The sequence below is a fragment of the Homo sapiens genome, chromosome 11 (genome assembly GCF_000001405.40).
Source record: "Homo sapiens chromosome 11, GRCh38.p14 Primary Assembly".
Lineage (NCBI taxonomy): Eukaryota > Metazoa > Chordata > Mammalia > Primates > Hominidae > Homo > Homo sapiens.
Genome location: NC_000011.10, coordinates 24959145 through 24981426, shown reverse-complemented (window position 1 = coordinate 24981426; position 22282 = coordinate 24959145). Strand labels below are relative to the sequence as shown.

The 22282-nt window shown below is 34.9% G+C and overlaps 1 protein-coding gene across 5 annotated transcripts in view; it reads right to left on the bottom strand.

Moving 5' to 3' along the window:
• The window catches only part of LUZP2 (leucine zipper protein 2), a 585586-nt gene that overhangs the window by 101212 nt on the left and 462092 nt on the right, over positions 1-22282 (bottom strand). For all 5 annotated transcript variants that reach the window (NM_001009909.4, NM_001252010.2, NM_001252008.2 and 2 more), the window contains one exon: positions 4762-4836. In NM_001009909.4, the coding sequence (NP_001009909.2) occupies positions 4762-4836 (75 nt within the window). The remainder of the gene's footprint in view (positions 1-4761; positions 4837-22282) is intronic.

Sequence of the window (22282 nt, the reverse complement as noted above, 5' to 3'; positions counted from 1 at the left end):
AATGAGGGTGACCACTGGTCATCCTCACTGCTCATTATATACTAATTACAATGCATTAGCATGCTAAAAGACACCCCCACCAGTACCATGACATTTTACAAATGCTATGACAAGGTCACAAAGTTACCCTATATGGTCTAAAAATGGGGGAAACCCTCAGGTCCGAATTGCCCACCCCTTACCTACTGCCCATTAAGTTCCTCTAACTTAACAGAGCCTATTACTCATACTACTCAGGTTTGGCTTGACTCAGTTCCATGAGCAAAACCCAGAGGATGATTTTACACCACGATGGCATTACATTTTTATTTATACTGTTAGGTGTCATTTGTTTTCAACTGCAGGCTACTGTTTACTTTGAAGTTTGCTAAAACAAGCTGTCACCTAATGAAATATGATGTAAACCATGTACAGCCAGTCTTGTTTTTGCTCTGTCTTTCCGCTCCCTGCAGCACACCACTTTTCCTACTTGTTTTAAAATGTGATAGTAAAATGCAAGTTCCTTAATGAAAATGCCCTGTTTATCACAATATCCTTTGTGTATAGACCCTCAAGCATCCCAAACTCATTTCCATATTAGAGCCTTTACAAATGCTGCTTCCTCTGCTTGCAGAACCCTTCTTCCAAATACCCATATAGAAACTGCCACTTAAAATGTATGTCTCAGCTCACAAACTATTTTCATGCAAACAGCCCCTATCACCCTTTCCAGGAATGGTTCTTTCCTAAAGTTGTTATTATATTTTCTACCTTTATATCTTATTTAGTCCTTACCATCATTTCAAATCATCTTGTTGTTTTTATGTTTAATGTTCACTTTTAACAAACTTTTTTGAAGGCTGGTATCCTATCTGTGGCATCATCAGTTTCTAACACAACACACGCTTGTTATATAAAAAATTAAGCAAACCCTCCAGAGAATATAGGTTAGTGTTTTGTTACAAGAGAAAATGATGAAATATTTATCATTTTATCTTATATATTAGATAAGAAATTATTTCATATATTAAAAAATACTACCATTTACACTGTATAATATGAAAATTTTATAAGAAAGTATTTCTCATATGTGATCTTAAGATGGTGGAAAATTTAGGAGGTAGATTTTTTTGGTGTGTGTTAGTACTTTTCTCAGAAAAAATGCATTTTGTCTGGGGACAACAAGATATACCTTGCAAAGACAACTGTGCCCCTAATATCTAAACTCTACATAAATGAAACTTTACAAGATGTTTTTCATGTTACCTTAACTCTTTTAAATGAAGACACCAAGTCCTGAACTGCCAGCTTTGGAAAGACCATGAGAGACTGTGAGGCCAAACACTTTCTCCCTAACTTTATTTCTGCCATGAAATCAGCTCAGAGAGCCCGGGAAAGTCATTCAATATTTTGAGACCTCTGCTCCAGTGATATTCAGGTCCCATGTATGTGGGATGACTAGAATGTTTATTCATTTAGGTCAGGTCTTTATTTTTAATTAAGAAGTATTTATTATATTCCTGCTATGTGCCAGACACTGTGTGGTTGCAAAAAGATTTCTCATTCTGTATTACTCAGTCATTGGAGTCTGTGTAGGTCACTTACCCTACCTATGTCATCTGTAATATGGATGTAATAATGTATGCTTTCCCGGGTGTGAGGGACAGATACTATATAAACATTTTTAGTGTAAAAGTTTGAGAGATTTTTCTTAGCATAAAGCTTCTTTTATATTCCAGTAGCTGAGGCCAACTATATATAATTCATAAGATACTGCCAAATAAATAACTGATGGGAAACTCAAGGCTGATTCTTAGCTCTTGATATTATTATTGTTTATACTGAGATACTAAACTGAGACTTCTTTCATTAAATATGTCATAAGAATCAAGTTGAAGTGTTAAGAGTTTTTCATAATACGTATGAAGTACTTAAGGTTATTTAAATTCCAGATATTATATTCTTGGGAACTAAATACTCAAATAGTATTTTAAAAGCCTCATATAAAGATGATGGAGAGAGGGGAAAATCTATTTCATTAAACTGTAGTTTTTATCCATTTTGAAGTCAACTAGCATTTCTATCTAACTTTATGGCTATAGTTTATGAACCTCATATGTATCTTACATGAGATTTGTTAAAATCAGCCTCCAGTAATATGAAAGGCATTTATAGTTACTAAAAGGCGTGACAAGATCTGAAGGTTAAAGAGGGAATTGTTATCACAGAGAAGCAGTCTGTGATCTCATTCAGTAACAATAATAACTTCTAAGCTTATTTAATGAATGTTTTCCAGGCATTGTACCTAGTACTGTAATTTTTGGCTACGTGTAATTTTCTCATCACCATTATAAATAAAGTTTATTGTTATTTCCAGTGAGACATAAAGATTTTGAGGAATTTGAACATGGTCATTCAGTCAAAGAGTCATGATTTGAACATAAGTAGACTATCTCTGGAGACCATTATTTAACCACTACAACATCAGCCTCTCATCCTGAAATTTAGGGACATAATGACAGGGGTTGGGAGGTGGAATTGGGAGGAGAAGAGCATTGAATGGGTAAGAATATGTACAACTAAAGATGGAGGAACAACTCTACACTAACCCTGAGCTCTGTGACTCAGGCCAAATTCCAGTTGCAAAATAAAGTGTTTTGTGACTATACCGTGCCCTATGACCCACAGGTACTTAGAAAATACATATCCATTCTCTGTGCTTCTGTTGCCTCATGTCTCAGTATACAATTATTCCCTAATTGTTAGTGCTAAACAAAATTGTGAGAGATATGGGACCCAAGACCTTGTGTCATATATTTTCTATTTTCCCTTGTACCTAGCATAGGATGGCCACAAAAAAGGCATTTCAAAGCTATTTAGTCATTGACTGACTAAAAGGATTATGTGAAGTCAAATCGGGAGAACATTTAATATAACGAAGAATATTCCAAGAACCAGAGAGGGTAACAACTCAGAGAAGACCAGACTGCTTCAGAATCATGGGAATCTAATGATTTTCTAGGATTTAAACAATATTGCAGCGACTGTACAGGAATGTCAGAGAAAGGACTAAAACAAAGGTGGCCTACTTGAGCTTTAGAATTATATATGCCTCTGATTCTCTGATTCCACCAATGTTATAATGAGTTATATACATTTTTTAAAAGTAATAATTGGCATAAGTTGGATATGGTCAGAGATTAGCTTAAATTGGTATAAATTTGTTTTATATAAATTTTTTTAAAATCTTATAATGCTGGGATCTTAATAAGACAAATTATACTTGATCTAATTCACAAAATAGGGGGCAAGCTCCCCTCTATTTTATACTAAAATAACTATGGTACAAACTGATGGTTAGAAGGTAAGCTCCTTTCCTTACAAAATTGCTAAATGTATACAGTGTACTATTGCAAAATAAATGAATTATTGCAAAATAAGTTTATAATTGCAATCATCTTACTTGCTTAATTTTCGCAAATAAATGGTTACTAAGCTGTGACCACAAAAATAGAAAGCCCTTGACATCAGAGTATTTCCTTTAATTAAAAAAAAAATTAAAAACAATAGAAGCAGATAGAGAGAAACATAATAAATATCAAGTAAATATCTATCTGAATTAAGTGTTAAAAGCAAAATTTTGATAATAAAATACATATATACTTGTTACATATATCATTTTCTATAATGTTAAACATAGTGTATATATACATACATATTATGGGCATATGTGCAACATACATATATTTATTACCTATATCTAATGTATGTATACATACATATGTAAAGCATATATGTAATGGAAGTTTACATGTATACATATATAATGCATGTATGTAATGGATAAAATGTACATATATGTGGTGTATGAATTAAAGATTGCTTGTATATGTACAATTATTGGAGGATAAAATATTTATGGTACAGCAGAAGTGCTCTTTGTAAACATCCCTGGTGTTATTTTACTGTTTTTCCCCAAACGCAATTGTATCCATGAATTTTATGTGACTGTATCTTTCTATATACATGTCAAATTTCTACATACACATTATCTTTTTACATTGTATGTAATTTTTAAAAATGTGTTTTGTGTATTTAAACAACTGTTAAATATTATACATATAATTCTGCTTTTCTCATTGAACATTATATGTTGTAGGTATATCAATATTGATAAAACACATTTATGTATATTTGTTAATATTATATTTTAATTACTATTTCCAAATTTGAGTATAGAAAATATTTAAAAATAGGTGCATTAATTATCTTACAGTAAACAGTTAAATTACTTCCATTTATTATTAATATAAACATTGCTATATTCAGTGTTCTTGTGCATGTTTCTAAGTAAATATAGATAAGTATAAATTATAAGATACATGCATTCAAAAACTGGTTATAACAATTTGATGCCAATAATTACTTCCTTTTGCTTCATAACTCATTCACCTAGAGTTAATATATAGTGCCTTAGTTGATGCTTTAAAGCATGTTTATTCATGGTATTATGGAATAAATATACCAGTGAGGTGAAAAATGGAGCCATGAACTCACAAAGACTGAACCTTCAGTCAGTTTACTGTAGCAGCAAAAACAAAGAAATAGTTGGATTCCAAAGAAGATATCAAACCTTCCTGAATTCTGTAACTATCTTATATACACAGCATCTAGAAACACATTAATAAATCAAGAAAAGCAATGAGCATACTTTAACTTTTTTTTTTTTTTTTTTTTTTTTGCTAAAACTACAGTTGTAATGGTTCATGAATGTAGACTTACCCTGTCAAGAGCTGCTTTCTCCAGTTCATTTTTGGCTACAGCTAATTTTTGTTCCAGATCAGTAAGCTGCTGCGCCTGTAAAATAAGAGATAAATCTTCTAGATAAATTCTGCAATTTCCCTCTGTACTTTAAGCATCTGTCATATATTGCCAAAGAATTGTAAAAAGAGAGAAAAGAAAAAAAAAAAAAACAGTGTCCTGTAAGATTCATTTAGAATTCAGTTTAAAAATACTATATATCATGATAATTTGATGTGCAGAATATTTAATATGCAGAAAATGGTAGTTCTGGATGAATATGCACTAAATGCTTCACTAGACCAAAACATCTAATTTCAAGGACCCAACTCAAGTCCCTAGGAATACCTGTGATTTAGATCCATCACTTATATTTCTAGTTGATATAGACTGAATTTTATGCCCCCAAAATTTATACGTTGAAGGCCTAACTCATTATTGTCACTGTATTTGGAGACAGAGCACTTTGGGGGTAATTAAAATTAAATGAAGTCACAAGAGTGAGGCCCTAATTCCATAGGACACATGTTCACATAAGGAGAGGAAAAAAACAACAGAGATATTTATTTGTGTTCACAGGTGGATAGGCCAAGTGAGGGCAGACAGAGAAGGCACTGACTACAAGCCAGGAAGAGCCTTCGCCAGAAACTAAATATATGGACACCTTACTCTGGGACTTCTAGCATCCAGAACTGAGAGATAATAGATTTTTATTTTTACACTAGTCGATGGTATTTTGTTATGACAGCCCAAGCAGACAAATGTACTAATATGTACTCTATTTTTGTTGTTGTGTTTTAATCCCATACACTTCTCTATCCTACCATACCTCTATACCATTACAAGTATCATTATTGTGCTATTAGAATAAAAAAGCAGTACCTTCAGATTTGGAATTCATATATTCAAATCCTGCCTCCACCCCTTCCCAGCTATGTGATATTGGGCAAAGCCCTTGACTTTTCTAAACTAGAGATGGCAATACTTATTCTACACCATAATAGCCAGGTTCAAATTAGGAATGTGAAGAGTTGGAAGTTCCATTATCTGTATACATATAGCATTTGCACCACTTTGCTTTATTCCATTATTGTTCCATTTATCCATTCATCCTTTGATTAATCTCTGTGTTCTTCACTATGCCAGGCACTGTGCTGGGCCATGAGAATTGCCAAGATGACTTAAAACAACAACCACAACAACAACAGCAACAACAAATACTTTCTCTAAATAATCTACAAACTTATATTCTTAAATTGTTTACATCTTCCAGTTGATTGTGGTATCTGCTGAGAGCAAGAATAATAAAATGCATTTAATTTTCTATAGGAAAGCTGCCATTTTATTAGGTGTCAACATTCATTCAATAATTTTATAATTCAGCAAATATTACTCATCTTTTAATATAAATCAAAAACCATTCTCTGAACTAATTGTAGAATAATGAAGAAAAAGAAATCCTTCTCTTTAAAAAGAGACAGAATATACATATATAAAATCAGATAGTGACAGTTGCTATCAAGAAAGTGAAGCTAGAAAACAGAATAGAGCATGTGAGAGGTTATATTAATCAACATATTAATATTTTAAATATTTACAATAAACCCAGCTTACAGTCAAACTGCTGGTGGATAAGCAAGCTGGTGGATCTCTAGAGTCATACTTCAGCCCAGCCAAGATCACTGACCCCCAGGCAACTCACATATGCACATTTTCCCTATTTATTCATTGATTTAAAAATCATATGTTTTACCATAATAAATAATGCACAACATTATTTTCTCCTTCTCAATCTTTCTTTCCTACCACTTGCCCCTTGCTCAATATGCTTTGGATATACTGGCCTTATTTTTACCTCGAAAGTGCTAAGTTTATCTATATTGTAAGGTCTTTAAAATTCCAAGCATAATTTTCTTCTTATCGTTTAGATATCTGGTAAAATTTATTTAATCACAACAGTATTCCTGATAAGCCATATCTATATGGGTTAATTTGCTTCTCTTGTGAAACAGAAACCCAAATTCAGAGGCTGAAAGAAACAAGAATTTATAAATTATATTTAAATCACATGTATTTCATTTTATTGGTAGAAAGATTATCTGTCATAAATACATAGAACTATTTATGCAAAAATTCCCTTTTTAATGTGTAAGAAAATGCTAGTTTCAGCATCATGACAGAATCAAATTCACATATAATAATATTAATCTTAAATGTAAATGGGCTAAATGCCCCAATTAAAAGAAACACAATGGCAACGTTGATAAAGAGTCAAGACCCATCCATATGCTGTCTTCAAGAGACCCATCTCATGTGCAAAGACACACATAGGTTCAAAATAAATGGATGGAGGAAAATTTACCAAGCAAATGAAAAACACAAAAAAGCAGAGGTTGCAATCCTAATTTCTGACAAAACAGACATTAAACCAACAAAGACCAAAAAAGATAAAGAAGGGCATTACATAATGGTAAAAGTTTCAATTCCACAAGAAGAGCTAACTATTCTAAATATATATGCACCCAATACAGGAGCACCCAGATTATTAAAGTAAGTTCTTAGAGACCTACAAAGAGACTTATACTCCCACACAATAATAGTGGGAGACATTAACACCCCACTGACAATATTAGACACATCACCAAGACAGAAAATTAACAAAGATAATTAGGAACTGAACTCAGCTCTGGATCAAGCAGAGCTGATAGATATCTACAGAACTCTCCATTAAAAAACAACAGAATATACATTGTTCTCATTGCTGTATGGCACTTACTCTAAAATTGATCACATAAGAGGAAGTAAAACACTCCTCGGTAAATGCAAAATAACTAAAAATCATAACAAACAATCTCCCAGACCACAGCACAATCAAATCAGAACTCAAGACTAAGAAATTCACTCAAAACCACAAAACTACATAGAAATTGTACAACCTGCTGCTGAATGACTTCTGGCTAAATAATGAAATTAAGACAAAAATGAAGAAGTTATTTAAAACTAATGAGACAATGTACCAAAATCTCTGGGATGCAGCTATAGCAAAGTTAAGAAGGAAATTTATAGCACCAAAAGCCCACGTCAAAAAAAGTAGAAGAATCTCAGATTAACAACGTGACAACACAACTTAAAGAACTAGAGGACCAAGAGCAAACAAACCCCAAAGCTAGCAAAAGACAAGAAATAACAAGATCAAAGCTGAACTGAAGGAGCTAGAGACACAAAATAACCTTCAAAAAATCAATGAACCCAGGAGCTGTTTTTTTGAAAAAAAAAAAAAAAACTAATAAATATATAGAATACTAGCTAGACTAATAAAGAAGAAAAGAGAGAAGACACAATAGAAATGGGATCATGGAGATACCATCACTGACTTCCACAGGAATACAAAAAAATCAGAGAATACTATAAACACCTCTATGCACATAAACTAGAAAATTCAGAAGAAATGAATAAGTTCCTAGAAACAAACACCCTCCCAAGACTGAACCAGGAAGAAACTGAATCCATAAATAGTCCAATAATGAGTTCTAAAATTGAGGCAGTAAGAAATAGCCTACCAACCAAAAATTTAAAAAAAAAAAAAAAACCCAGGACCAGACGGATTTACAGGTGAATTCTACCAGAGGTACAAAGAAGAGCTGGTACTATTTCTACTAAAACTATCACAAACAGTTGAAAAGGAAGGACTCCTCCCCAATGCATTTTATGAGGTCAGCATCATTCTGACACCAAAACGTGGCAGACATACAACAAAAAAAGAAAACTTCAGACAAATATCCCTGATGAACATTAATGAAAAAACCTCAATAAAATACTGGCAAACCGAATCCAGCAGCACATCAAAAAGGTTATCCACCACAATCAAGTTGGCTTTACATCCAGGATCCAAGGCTGGTTCAACATACACAAATCAGTAAATGTAAATTCATCACATAAACAGAACTAAAGAAAAAAAACCCACATGATTATCTCAATAGACACAGAAAAAGGCCTTTGATATAACTCAGCATCCCTTCATGTTCAATAAATTAGGTATTGAAGGAACATACTCAAAAATAGAAGGACAACATTGTTGTCTTTCACTATAGAGAGACAGCAAAACAAATATGGTAGGAGATGAACACTGGAGTTCACATTGAAATTGGAGTACTAGTTTTTACCCCTTATTAATTTTTACTACTTAAATATTTAATCTCCCCATGCTTCAGTTTCCTCTTCTTTAAAGATGAATAATAGTACTTAACTTATAGGCTTGTTGGGAGAATTAAATTAGTCAATATCTGTAAAATACTTAGAGTAGTACCAGTTCAATAGTAATATATGACTATATGATAAGTAATACAGTTTATATTACTTGTCATAAATTCATCATAAAGGCAATCAATAACAATTCAGGAAGCTTGTATCAGGGCAGGAAGAATAAATTCTAACAAAAATAGCAAATTTGCCTTTGAAAATTTTATTGTCATTCATGCCCAAGTGTTTTTTTTTTTTTTTTTTTTTTTCGGAGTCTCACTCCGCTGTCACCCAGGCTGGAGTGCAGTAGCATGATCCCGGCTCACTGCAACTCCACCTCCTGGGTTCAAGTTATTCTTGTGCCTCAGCCTCTTAAGTAGTTGGCATTGTAGGTGCATGCCACCACACCCAGCTAATTTTTGTTCTGTTTTAGTAAAAACAGGATCTTGCCATGGTGGCCATGCTGGTCTCGATCTTCTGACCTCAGATGATCTGCCTGCCTCAGCCTCCCAAAGAGCTGGGATTACAAGCATGAGCCACTGCACCTGGCCATGCCCAGGGTTTTAATGATTTACCTTTTTTTACCTGGTAAAAATCCAGCCAAGAGATCTTGGGAAACCAGAGTTGACAAAAAGAATAAGAAAAAGTAATAAAAGGACTTGCAGATACCATCCCATGTTGTAATACTTTGATTCCAGTTTGGAAAGGATTAGGTACTGGATTAAATCATACAGAGTAGCCATAATTATTTTTTATAATTTTTTTTTAAAACTTCTATTTTAGATACAGGGCGTACGTGTGCAGATTTGTTACATGCGGATATTGCATGATGCTGAGGTTTGCAATATAGATCCCATCATGCTAATAGTGACTATCCTACCCAGTAGGTAGTTTTTCAACCTAACCTCCTCCCTCCACCCTCTAGTACAGTGGTCCCCAGCCCCTATGCCACAGACTGGTACTGCTCTGTGGTTTGTTAGGAACTGGGCAGCACAGCAGGAGGTAAACAGCTGGCAAGTGAGCAAAGCTGAACTTCACCTCCTGCCAGGTCAGCAGCAGCATTAGATTTTCATAGGGGCATGAACCCTATTGTGAACTACGCATGTAAGGGATCTGGGCTGCATGCTCTTTATGAGAATCTAGTGACAAATATAATGCACTTGAATAATCATGAAACCCCTCCCCGACCCCATCTCAGGTACGTGGAAAAATGGTCTTCCATGAAACTGGTCACTGGTGCCACAAAGGTTGAGGATAATTGCTCTAGTAGACAACAGTGTCCATTGTTCCCATATTTATGTCTATGTGCACTCCATGCTTATCTCCTACTTATAAGTGAGAATATGTAGCATTTAGTTTTCTGTTCCTGTATTAATGTGCTTAGGATTATGGCCTCCATCTTCATCCATGTTGCTGCAAAGGACATAATTTCATTCTTTATATGGCTGCCTACTATTCCGTGGTGTATATGTACCACATTCTTAATGTAAATTCTTAATACACTTTATTAACAATTACAAAAATGTAGAACTTCAAATTTTTACAGACCATAAAAAGCTGGAGCTTGGTTTTGTTTCTGGCTCACTCTAAGTGTAGTGCTCCAAGGAGGTGTTACTTGTTATTTTTTCTCAGAATGGACCTTAAGTAGAGCTAGATTCTAAAGGATAGCACCAGTAGCGTGTTCTGTGCACAAACTCTGTTTTCTTCTGGGAAACATGAAGGTATAACTGTGTTGGATGAAGCAGAAAAGAAAAAGGATGTGAGGCTAGATTATTACATTTTATTGAAATTTCAGTGAATAATTTTATAAAATTTTGGCAACTAGCTAAATTTGCGAAGTTCTGACTCATCAGTCATACGTTAGATTTGTAATTCAATGATTCTGAAATAACTCTTTGATACAATTTTTAAAAATTCTCCCTTCACCCCTTTCCCTCTAGGTAAAACTATCCAGTTGTCTTTATTTTAATTTCTCTGATAAATTTCACTGAGGTTTATAGAATATAAAACTATACCTTACTTTCCTCTGAAAAGGATGTGAGACAATTTCACATTAAAAGTAATAAAATCTTAAAGACATATCAGGTTTATGGAAAAAATATATGATAATATGCTGCATGAATGTGATATAAAGGTAGGGTAGGGGATGCAACAGCAGAAAAAAAGCACTGATAGTGGAGCCTTAAAACTTATTTGTCTTGGCTGAGCTGAAAATTTTGTTCCAAGACCTCTAGTAGCTGCTTGTAAAAAGTAATGCTGTTGGCTCCAAAATTCTCATTATCAAAGATAGTAAACCTACCAGAGACACAGAAGATGCAGGAGTTTTCCAAGTAGTAGTTTCTAAAATAAAATTCTAACAGATTTTATAATTCAGCTCGGTAAACCATTTTTAAGGCTCTAAGAACATAAAGTACAAATGCATGGTTCATCTTAATTCCTAAGATAATTCCTAGAATTCCTCAAGAAAGAGAAAGTGTATGCGTGTGTGTGTGCGCGCGCATGTGTGTGTTCCCACCAAAACTCAGAAAACCAGATGAACAAGTCATGAGATGGACTGGCCTCCTAAAATGTGAGTAATAACTCCACTCTTTCTCATCCATTCTGCCTCACATTCTTTTGTAGCCATACATGCTAGGTGAGATCTCAATGCTCAGTTGCAAAGATGGAGACGTAATTTCTTAAAGCAATCACTCTATCTCTTAACTCTCTAGTTAAATAATTGAAAATTGATTTAGGCACTTAAATGACTTTATGCAGAAACTAGAAGATATTTACTGATGTTTTCTGGAATAAAAGCTGTCTCTTCTTCATCTAAGGGAAGATACAGTATATTATTTCTCTTTGCAGAGTAATATGAAGATGTTTAGGCCTAAACTCAAATATACATTGTTGCTGGGATAAAAGAGAACAGCTATACTGTCCTATAGAATAAAATAAAACATAAAAAATAAGAAATAAATATACAGCAGGCTTTGGTGACATGAAAAACTCATTCAAACCATGCCTGAAATCAATGAACCCTGCATTTTCAGTTAATGTGAAGAAATATTTTTTCTTAAATTCTAGTTAGATATTTATATTTCTTGATATTTAAAGAAGGATTAGGCTATTATCCTTAGCAAACTAACACAGGAACAGAAAACCAAATACTCCATGTTCTCACTTATAAGTGGGAGCTAAATGATAAGAACATAGGAACACAAAGAAGGAAACAACAGACACTAGAGTCTACTTGAGTGGGCAGGAGGAGTAGAAAGGAGGGAGAGAAGCAGAAAAGATAACTATTGGGTACTGGGATTAAAACCTGGGTGAGAAAATAATATGTACAACAAACCACCAGGACAAGGGTTTACCTATGCAACATACCTTCACATGTACTCTCAAACCTAAAATATAACTTAAAAAAAGGATTCAAATTATCTGCTTCTAGACATGTCAGAGATGACAGGGTAATCAATATTGGACTAGCCCTCCTCCTATAAACAACTGTGAACCAATTGTGCCAGGCTACGAACCTTGAAATATAGGAAACTGACTAGGTAAGCCCCATGACTGCACCAGCTTTCTGCCTGATGGCAATTTCTTAACCAAGGTGCGAAGAGCAATGGCCCAAGATGATCACTGTAGTTGCACTGAGCAATTGAAGCGGAAAGCAGAGTTTAGAACAGATTAAATGGCTACAATATGCGGGACAGGGCATCAGAGAAATATGAAGTGAGCAGGGGTGGGGCTCCCAAAAATCAGCTTGGGTAACAGGAGTGTTCCTGTACATCCTTGGCTGAGAGTTGGTCTACACATACCAGGGTAATAAATTATACAAGGGCAATAATAGAACAAATTCTACATGGCTGAGAGGAGAAGAGAAAAACTCAAGGTTAAGCACCGTAGAAGGATAGTAGAGCTCCAGAGACACCCATAAACTCTTAATACCACAGGCAATCAAAACAGCAGTCTTTAGATTAATAGCTAAGCACTAAAGAGTTGTTGGCAAACTACAGCCCACAGTCAAAATCTTGCTTACTGACTGATTTTGTATGCAAATTTTATTAAAACACAACCACCTTTATTTGTTTAAGTATAGTCTACTTGCTTTTGTGATACAATGGTGGAATTCAGTAGTTAACCATATGGTCTGCTCAGACTAAAATATTTACTGTGTGTTCACTTACAGCAAATGTTTTTTGATCCCTGCCCTAGAATAAGGCCTATTTCAAACCTACCTTAAAAAAATCTAAATCAAACCTAGACAGAACTTGGGAGGGGTGGGGACACATCTTTGGAGGTTTAGCTCAATTAAATAAGAGGAGCTTGGGTACTACCTTGAACTTTTTAAGTACTGGCAATAGGCAAAGAATAAAACAAACCGTACACAAATCAAGTTGATTACCAGTATTTTAACAGCATTCTAGAACAACAATTAAAAATATTCAAGAGATAAAATACAGAGTCTCTGTAATATATCAACCACAATCTCCATCGCAACATAAAATCTCACCAGTTATTAATATATGTATATATGATTCAAAGTCACACACAAGACTAGATGATGATAACCAATATCTAGATAGTCTATATGTTGAATATAGCAGAAAAACACTTTAAGGCAGCTATTAAAAATAGGATTAGGAACTTATAGGTAATGTGTTCTTGACAAAAGAGGAAATCTTAACATAAAAGTTGCACAATGTTATTTTTAAAAGCAAATGAAAATTCTAAAAAGAAAAATGAAATTGGATGCACATTAAAAAAATGAAGATGGCAGAAAAAGGGCCAGTAGATATGACGTGATACTAATAGAAATGATTCATTCTGAAGAACAGTGAAGAGAAAAAAAGTTTGAAGAAACATGAACAGGGCCTCAAAAATGCTTACAATAATATTAACCACTTCAACATATGTACACTGGAATACTAGAAAGAAAAGAGTATGAAAAAAAGAGAAAAAATGCATTCAGAATTGTTAGGAAAAAATTTAATGAAGAATGTTAAAAACATTTGTGTTGAAAATTACAAAACATTACTAAGACTAATAAAAATTTTAAATAAACAGAAAGATATACAATGTCTATGAATTAAAATATTTTTGCTGTTGAACACGAGATTTAATATTCTTATAATGTCTGGTCTCCCTAAATTAATGAATGTACAGATAAAATACAAACAGACTGTAATTCCCACAGGATTACTTTGGTAAATTTGACAAGCTATTTTTAAAATGTGTCTCCAACATCTTTAGAAAAGCACTAGCTGTAGGACTAATGCCATCTGATTTTAAGACTAACTCTAAAGCTATATTAATAGCAGTGTGTTGTTGGCATAAGCATAGACATATATGACAATGGATCAGGACAGAATCTGGAAATTGACCCAAATATATAGTCAGTTGAAAACATACATAGTTATTTGATTGTTGAGAAAGACAAACTGTAATTCAATGCATTAAAAATACTAAGTTTAATAAATAGTGAGAAAGCAATTGGAGATTTTATCATATATTATATATATATAATATATATATTAGACATACTTTACACATGCACACACATTATATATGTATATATCCATTATATAATGTATACATATATATTTTTACATTATATAATGGATATATCAACTGATATAATGAATATATTATATCCACTATATATATAAAATATATAATGTAAAATATATATTTTGCACATGCACACACATTATATGTGTATATAATATAATATGCATATAAAATATATATTTCACAATGTATAAAATATGTTATATATCTTATATATAATATATCAGCCATTATATATATAAACGTAATGCATGTGTGCATGTATAAAATCAACCTTGATCTTTTCCTCACACTATTCACAAACAAAAATTAGAAATGAATTATTGACCTAAATGTAAAAGCTCAAACATAAATCTTCTAGAATAAAATTACTGTGACTTTGAGATAGACAAATATTTCTTAAATAGACAAAAACCCCAAACATTAGAAAAATGTAAATATAATTTTATTATATATAAAATGTTGTTCTTCAATAGACACTACAGAGAGAATGAAAAGCCAAGTCATAAACAAGAGAAAATGTACATCAGTGAAAGGACTCGAATCCAAAACATACAAATGAAACTTACAGCTCAACAATAAGAAGACAACCATTAAGAAAAGTTAAATAGACTTAGGTAGTAAATAAATTAAAAATACAAACAACCACATTTTTTAAAAATTGGTCAAATAATTGAATAAATGAAAAGTGGTTTATTTATATGTAAAATGGTTATATTCAAAATACAAAAATGCTCATGAGAATATGTTCAACCTAATTATTTATCAGATAAAGCAAGTAAAACTACAATGAAAAACCACTTCCCCTAGAAAACTTAAGTGTACTATCTTATCTTAAGAATATCTAAAAATTACTCCAGGAGAGATTAATGATCCATGAGTCACAGTTATTGCATTATCTTTGCCACTTACTGTTTGATCTCAGATTCCCTGTGTGCAAAGTAAGAATTTTTGAGTAGATGATTTTTAAATGTTCCCTCTATCTAAAGGAATTTATGATTCCTTGGGTGCTATCTATAGTAATAGACACATCTAGTCAATGTACCAGAGTAGACAAAACAACATGTGATTTTATTTCCTAATATTTATTTTTTAAATGAGCCATTTAATATTCTACATACATTTCATATTGTTCCTTCTTTAAACTCTCTTCCTAAACCTCTCTTCAAAACAGTAGGTATTAATTAAAAAATTTATATGTAAAATTATCATACTAGTTTATTAATCATTTTAATGACTAGACAGACACTTTCTAAATTTTGTTAACCTATAACTTTTCCTCAAAATTGCTTTCAAAGTTTATAATCTCATGTTTTATATTTCACCCAGAGAATGCTTCAAAAACAAATAATTTATTCAGCCTTTTTGTGAGTTATTAAAGCACAAACACATTGATTTCAATGGCTATCAAATTTTGTTGATATTCTTTCTTGGTAGACAGAGATATTCCAGAGAAGCTTTGAATATGAATCAAGGCCCTTGGCAGAGAGAGTTTTCTGTGGAGAAAACTGAAGAAATGGAGATTTCAGCAGAAAACTATCTCTTTAAAATTTACTTTTAGGCCAGGTGAATTTCATCAAACATCTAGTATGCAATTCATAAACTTGAATTACATGTCTAGAATTGATAACAAAGAAAAATGGTGAAAATTATGCAGAGAGGAAGAATGACAATTTTCACATGTCCACTCTTTATTATTAGAAATTAGATGATTGCTCTTTGAAAATTATTTGGTTTAGACGTCTTCCTATATAGGCTGTTGTTCCTTATATTAATCTTGGGAATCTTAATGGGACTTCTCAGCTACTTTACTGATACTCTACATAGCTTTTAAATCTTAATTAATAGGTTCTAGACTCTGAACTACACATCTAGAAATTGTACTTTCTGAAAATGTCTGAAACTTTTACTTACTCTATCATTAAAAATAAAACATGTTTGTCTTCATGAAAATGAATATCAGGCATTTCCTTTTATACCATGCATTGAGAACAAGAAATTTCAGTGATATATATGAACCTGGATTGACTATCTAGGTAAATAAATACAGTAAAAAAAAATGCTTTGAGATATAATCTAGAAGCATCTAATATTTCTTTACTATAGAATTTATTGATTTCATAAGGACAAAATTCTATCAAAAGTTACTATTAATCCATTTTGCCTTTGTCTACTTGAAGTGTTCTAGGAGGTAGTAATTGCTAGGAGGAATAGCCACATAGTATAATATACCCTGTAGTTATTAATTTTAAAGAGATTTCAAAGAAGTGAAGATTATCTGATTGTTCCTTACTTAGGCAGATATTATCAGCTCAATATACATATGCATCTTTTAAAATCCTGGATGAGATGTGGTCCTGTAAACTACATAGGTAGTTTGCTGATCAATTATGAAAATTAATACTACCTTAACTAATGTTGGGCTGGGTATAAAGTGAAAAAACTTGCTGTTTCTATATTACTATATTTATGGTTATCCCACATACATCCTGTTATCTAATAATGCTTTTAACTTGACTTTTATTCTCATTTTCTCAGCCTCTTTTTCTGAGATTATATAAAACAATCACCACCATTATGTAATTACCAGCATGTAGCAGGTAAATGTGCCAGTTACCATGAATTAACATCTAAATATTCTCATTAATCCTAAGAGATAAGTAATTATCCTCATCTGACAGTTAACAAACATTGGCAGGAATGTGGTGAAAAGGGAATCCTGGCACACTGTTGGTGGTAGAGTAAATTAGTACAGCCATTGAAGAAAACCATATGGAGGTTTCTCAAAACACTGAAAATAGAATTCCTGTGTGACCCAGTAATCCTGCTTCTGGGCATTTATCCAAAAGATTTGAAATCAGTATGTCAAACAGATATCTGCATTCCCATGTTTATTGCAGCAATATCTACAATAGTCAATTTAAGACATCAACCTGGAGGGGAGGAGCCAAGATGGCCAAATAGGAACAGCTCCGGTCTACAGCTCCCAGCATGAGCAACGCAGAAGACGGGTGATTTCTGCATTTCCATCTGAGGTACCGGGTTCATCTCACTAGGGAGTGCCAGACAGTGGGCGCAGGTCAGTGGATGCAGCGCACCGTGCACGAGCCGAAGCAGGGTGAGGCATTGCCTCACTCGGGAAGCACAAGGGGTCAAGGAGTTCCCTTTCCTAGTCAAAGAAAGGGGTGACAGACAGCACCTGGAAAATCGGGTCACTCCCACCCGAATACTGCGCCTTTCTGACGGGCTTAAAAAACGGCGCACCAGGAGATTATATCCCGCACATGGCTCGGAGGGTCCTATGCCCACGGAGTCTCGCTGGTTGCTAGCACAGCAGTCTGAGATTAAACTGCAAGGCAGCAGCGGGGCTGGGGGAGGGGCACCCGCCATTGCCCAGGCTTGCTTAGGTAAACAAAGCAGCCGGGAAGCTCGAACTGGGTGGAGCCCACCACAGCTCAAGGAGGCCTGTCTGCCTCTGTAGGCTCCACCTCTGGGGGCAGGGCACAGACAAACAAAAAGACAGCAGTAACCTCTGCAGACTTAAATGTCCCTGTCTGACAGCTTTGAAGAGAGCAGTGGTTCTCCCAGCACGCAGCTGGAGATCTGAGAACCGGCAGACTGCCTCCTCAAGTGGGTCCGTGACCCCTGACCCCTGAGCAGCCTAACTGGGAGGTACCCCCCAGTAGGGGCAGACTGACACTTCACACGGCCGGGTACTCCTCTGAGACAAAACTTCCAGAAGAATGATCAGACAGCAGCATTCGCGGTTCACGAAAAACCGCTGTTCTGCAAACACCGCTGCTGATACCCAGGCAAACAGGGTCTGGAGTGGACCTCTAGCAAACTCCAACAGACCTGCAGCTGACGGTCCTGTCAGTTAGAAGGAAAACTAACAAACAGAAAGGACATCCACACCAAAAACCCATCTGTACATCACCATCATCAAAGACCAAAAGTAGACAAAACCACAAAGATGGGGAAAAAACAGAGCAGAAAAACTGGAAACTCTAAAAAGCAGAGCACCTCTCTTCCTCCAAAGGAACGCAGTTCCTCACCAGCAATGGAACAAAGCGGGACGGAGAATGACTTTGACGAGTTGAGAGAAGAAGGCTTCAGATGATCAAAATATGAGCTACAGGAGGAAATTCAAACCAAAGGCAAAGAAGTTAAAAACTTTGAAAAAAATTTACACGAATGTATAACTAGAATAATCAATACAGAGAAGTGCCTAAAGGAGCTGATGGAGCTGAAAGCTAAGGCTCAAGAACTACGTGAAGAATGCAGAAGCCTCAGGAGCCGATGCCATCAACTGGAAGAAAGGGTATCAGTGATGGAAGATGAAATGAATGAAGTGAAGCAAGAAGGGAAGTTTAGAGAAAAAAGAATAAAAAGAAATGAACAAAGCCTCCAAGAAATATGGGACTATGTGAAAAAACCAAATCTACGTCTGATTGGTGTACCTGAAAGTGATGGGGAGAATGGAACCAAGTTGGAAAACACTCTGCAGGATATTATCCAGGAGAACTTCCCCAATCTAGCAAGGCAGGCCAACATTCAGATTCGGGAAATACAGAGAATGCCACAAAGAAGTAGGAGTTGCTCTTCTACTCCTCGCGAAGAGCAACTCCAAGACACATAAATGTCAAATTCCCAAAAGTTGAAATGAAGGAAAAAATGTTAAGGGCAGCCAGAGAGAAAGGTTGGGTTACCCACAAAGGGAAGCCCATCAGACTAACAGGAGATCTCTCAGCAGAAACTCTACAAGCCAGAAGAGAGTGGGGGCCAATATTCAACATTCTTAAAGAAAAGAATTTTCAACCCAGAATTTCATATCCAGCCAAACTAAGCTTCATAAGTGAAGGAGAAATAAAATACTTTACAGACAAGCAAATGCTGAGAGATTTTGTCACCACCAGGCCTGCCCTAAAACAGCCCCTGAAGGAAGCACTAAACATGGAAAGGAACAACCGGTACCAGCCACTGCAAAATCATGCCAAAATGTAAAGACCATCAAGACTAGGAAGAAACTGCATCAACTAACGAGCAAAATAACCAGCTAACATCATAATGACAGGATCAAATTCACACATAACAATATTAACTTTAAATGTAAATGGACTAAATGCTTCAATTAAAAGACACAGACAGGCAAATTGGATAAAGAGTCAAGACCCATCAATGAGCTATAATCAGGAAACCCATCTCACATGCAGAGACACACACAGGCTCAAAATAAAAGGATGGAGGAAGATCTACCAAGCAAATGGAAAACAAAGAAAGGCAGGGGTTGCAATCCTAGTCTCTGATAAAACAGACTTTAAACCAACAAAGATCAAAAGAGACAAAGAAGGCCATTACATAATGGTAAAGGGATCAATTCAACAAGAAGAGCTAACTATTCTAAATATATATGCACCCAATACAGGAGCACCCAGATTCATAAAGCAAGTCCTGAGTGACCTACAAAGAGACTTAGACTCCCACACATGAATAATGGGAGATTTTAACACCCCACTGTCAACATTAGACAGATCAACAAGACAAAAAGTTAACAAGAATACCGAGGAATTGAACTCAGCTCTGCACCAAGCGGACCTAATAGACATCTACAGAACTCTCCACCCCAAATCAACAGAATATACATTTTTTTCAGCACCACACCACACCTATTCCAACATTAACCACATAGTTGGAAGTAAAGCTCTCCTCAGCAAATGTAAAAGAACAGAAATTATAACAAACTATCTCTCTGACCACAGTGCAATCAAACTAGAACTCAGGATTAAGAAACTCACTCAAAACCGCTCAACTACATGGAAACTGAACAACCTGCTCCTGAATGACTACTGGGTACATAACGAAATGAAGGCAGAAATAAAGATGTTCTTTGAAACCAACGAGAACAAAGACACAACATACCACAATCTCTGGGACACATTCAAAGCAGTCTGTAGAGGGAAATTTTTAGCACTAAATGCCCACAAGAGAAAGCAGGAAAGATCCAAAACTGACACCCTAACATCACAATTAAAAGAACTAGAAAAGCAAGAGCAAACACATTCAAAAGCTAGCAGAAGGCAAGAAATAACTAAAATCAGAGCAGAACTGAAGGAAATAGAGACACAAAGGACCCTTCAAAAAATTAATGAATCCAGGAGCTGGTTTTTTGAAAGGCTCAAGAAAATTGATAGACCGCTAGCAAGACTAATAAAGAAAAAAAGAGAGAAGAATCAAATAGACACAATAAAAAATGATAAAGGGGATATCACCACCGATCCCACAGAAATACAAACTACTATCAGAGATTACTACAAACACCTCTACGCAAATAAACTAGAAAATCTAGAAGAAATGGATAAATTCCTCAACACACTCTCCCAAGACTAAACCAGGAAGAAGTTGAATCTCTGACTAGACCAATAACAGGAGCTGAAATTGAGGCAATAATCAATAGCTTACCAACCAAAAAGAGTCCAGGACCAGATGGATTCACAGCCAAATTCTACCAGAGGTACAAGGAGGAACTGGTACCATTCCTTCTGAAACTATTCCACTCAATAGAAAAAGAGGGAATCCTCCCTAACTCATTTTAAGAGGCCAGCATCATCCTGATAGCAAAGCTGGTCAAAGACACAACAAAAAAAGAGAATTTTAGAACAATATCCTTGATGAACATTGATGCAAAAATCCTCAATAAAATACTGGCAAACCGAATCCAGCAGCACATCAAAAAGCTTATCCACCATGATCAAGTGGGCTTCATCCCTGGGATGCAAGGCTGGTTCAATATACACAAATCAATAAATGTAATCCAGCATATCAACAGAACCAAAGACAAAAACCACATGATTATCTCAATAGATGCAGAAAAGGCTTTTGACAAAATTCAACAACCTTCATGCTAAAAACTCTCAATAAATTAGGTATTGATGGGACGTATCTCAAAATAATAAGAGCTATCTATGACAAACCCACAGCAATATCATATTGAATGGGCAAAAACTGGAAGCATTCCCTTTGAAAACTGGCACAAGACAGGGATGCCCTCTCTCACCACTCCTATTCAACATAGTATTGGAAGTTCTGGCCAGGGCAATTAGGCAGGTGAAGGAAATAAAGGGTATTCAATTAGGAAAAGAGGAAGTCAAATTGTCCCTGTTTGCAGTCAACATGATTGTATATCTAGAAAACCCCACTGTCTCAGCCCAAAATCTCCTTAAGTTGATAAGCAACTTCAGCAAAGTCTCAGGATACAAAATCAATGTACAAAAATCACAAGCATTCTTATACACCAATAACAGACAAACAGCCAAATCATGAGTGAACTCCCATTCACAATTGCTTCAAAGAGAATAAAATACCTAGGAATCCAACTTACAAGGGACGTGAAGGACCTCTTCAAGGAGAACTACAAACCGCTGCTCAAGGAAATAAAAGAGGATACAAACAAATGGAAGAACATTCCATGCTCATGGGTAGGAAGTATCAATATCATGAAAATGGCCATACTGCCCAAGGTAATTTATAGATTCAATGCCATCCCCATCAAGCTACCAATGACTTTCTTCACAGAATTGGAAAAAACTACTTTAAAGTTCATATGGAACTAAAAAAGAGCCCGCATCGCCAAGTCAATCCTAAGCCAAAAGAACAAAGCTGGAGGCATCACACTACCTGACTTCAAACTATACTACAAGCCTACAGTAACCAA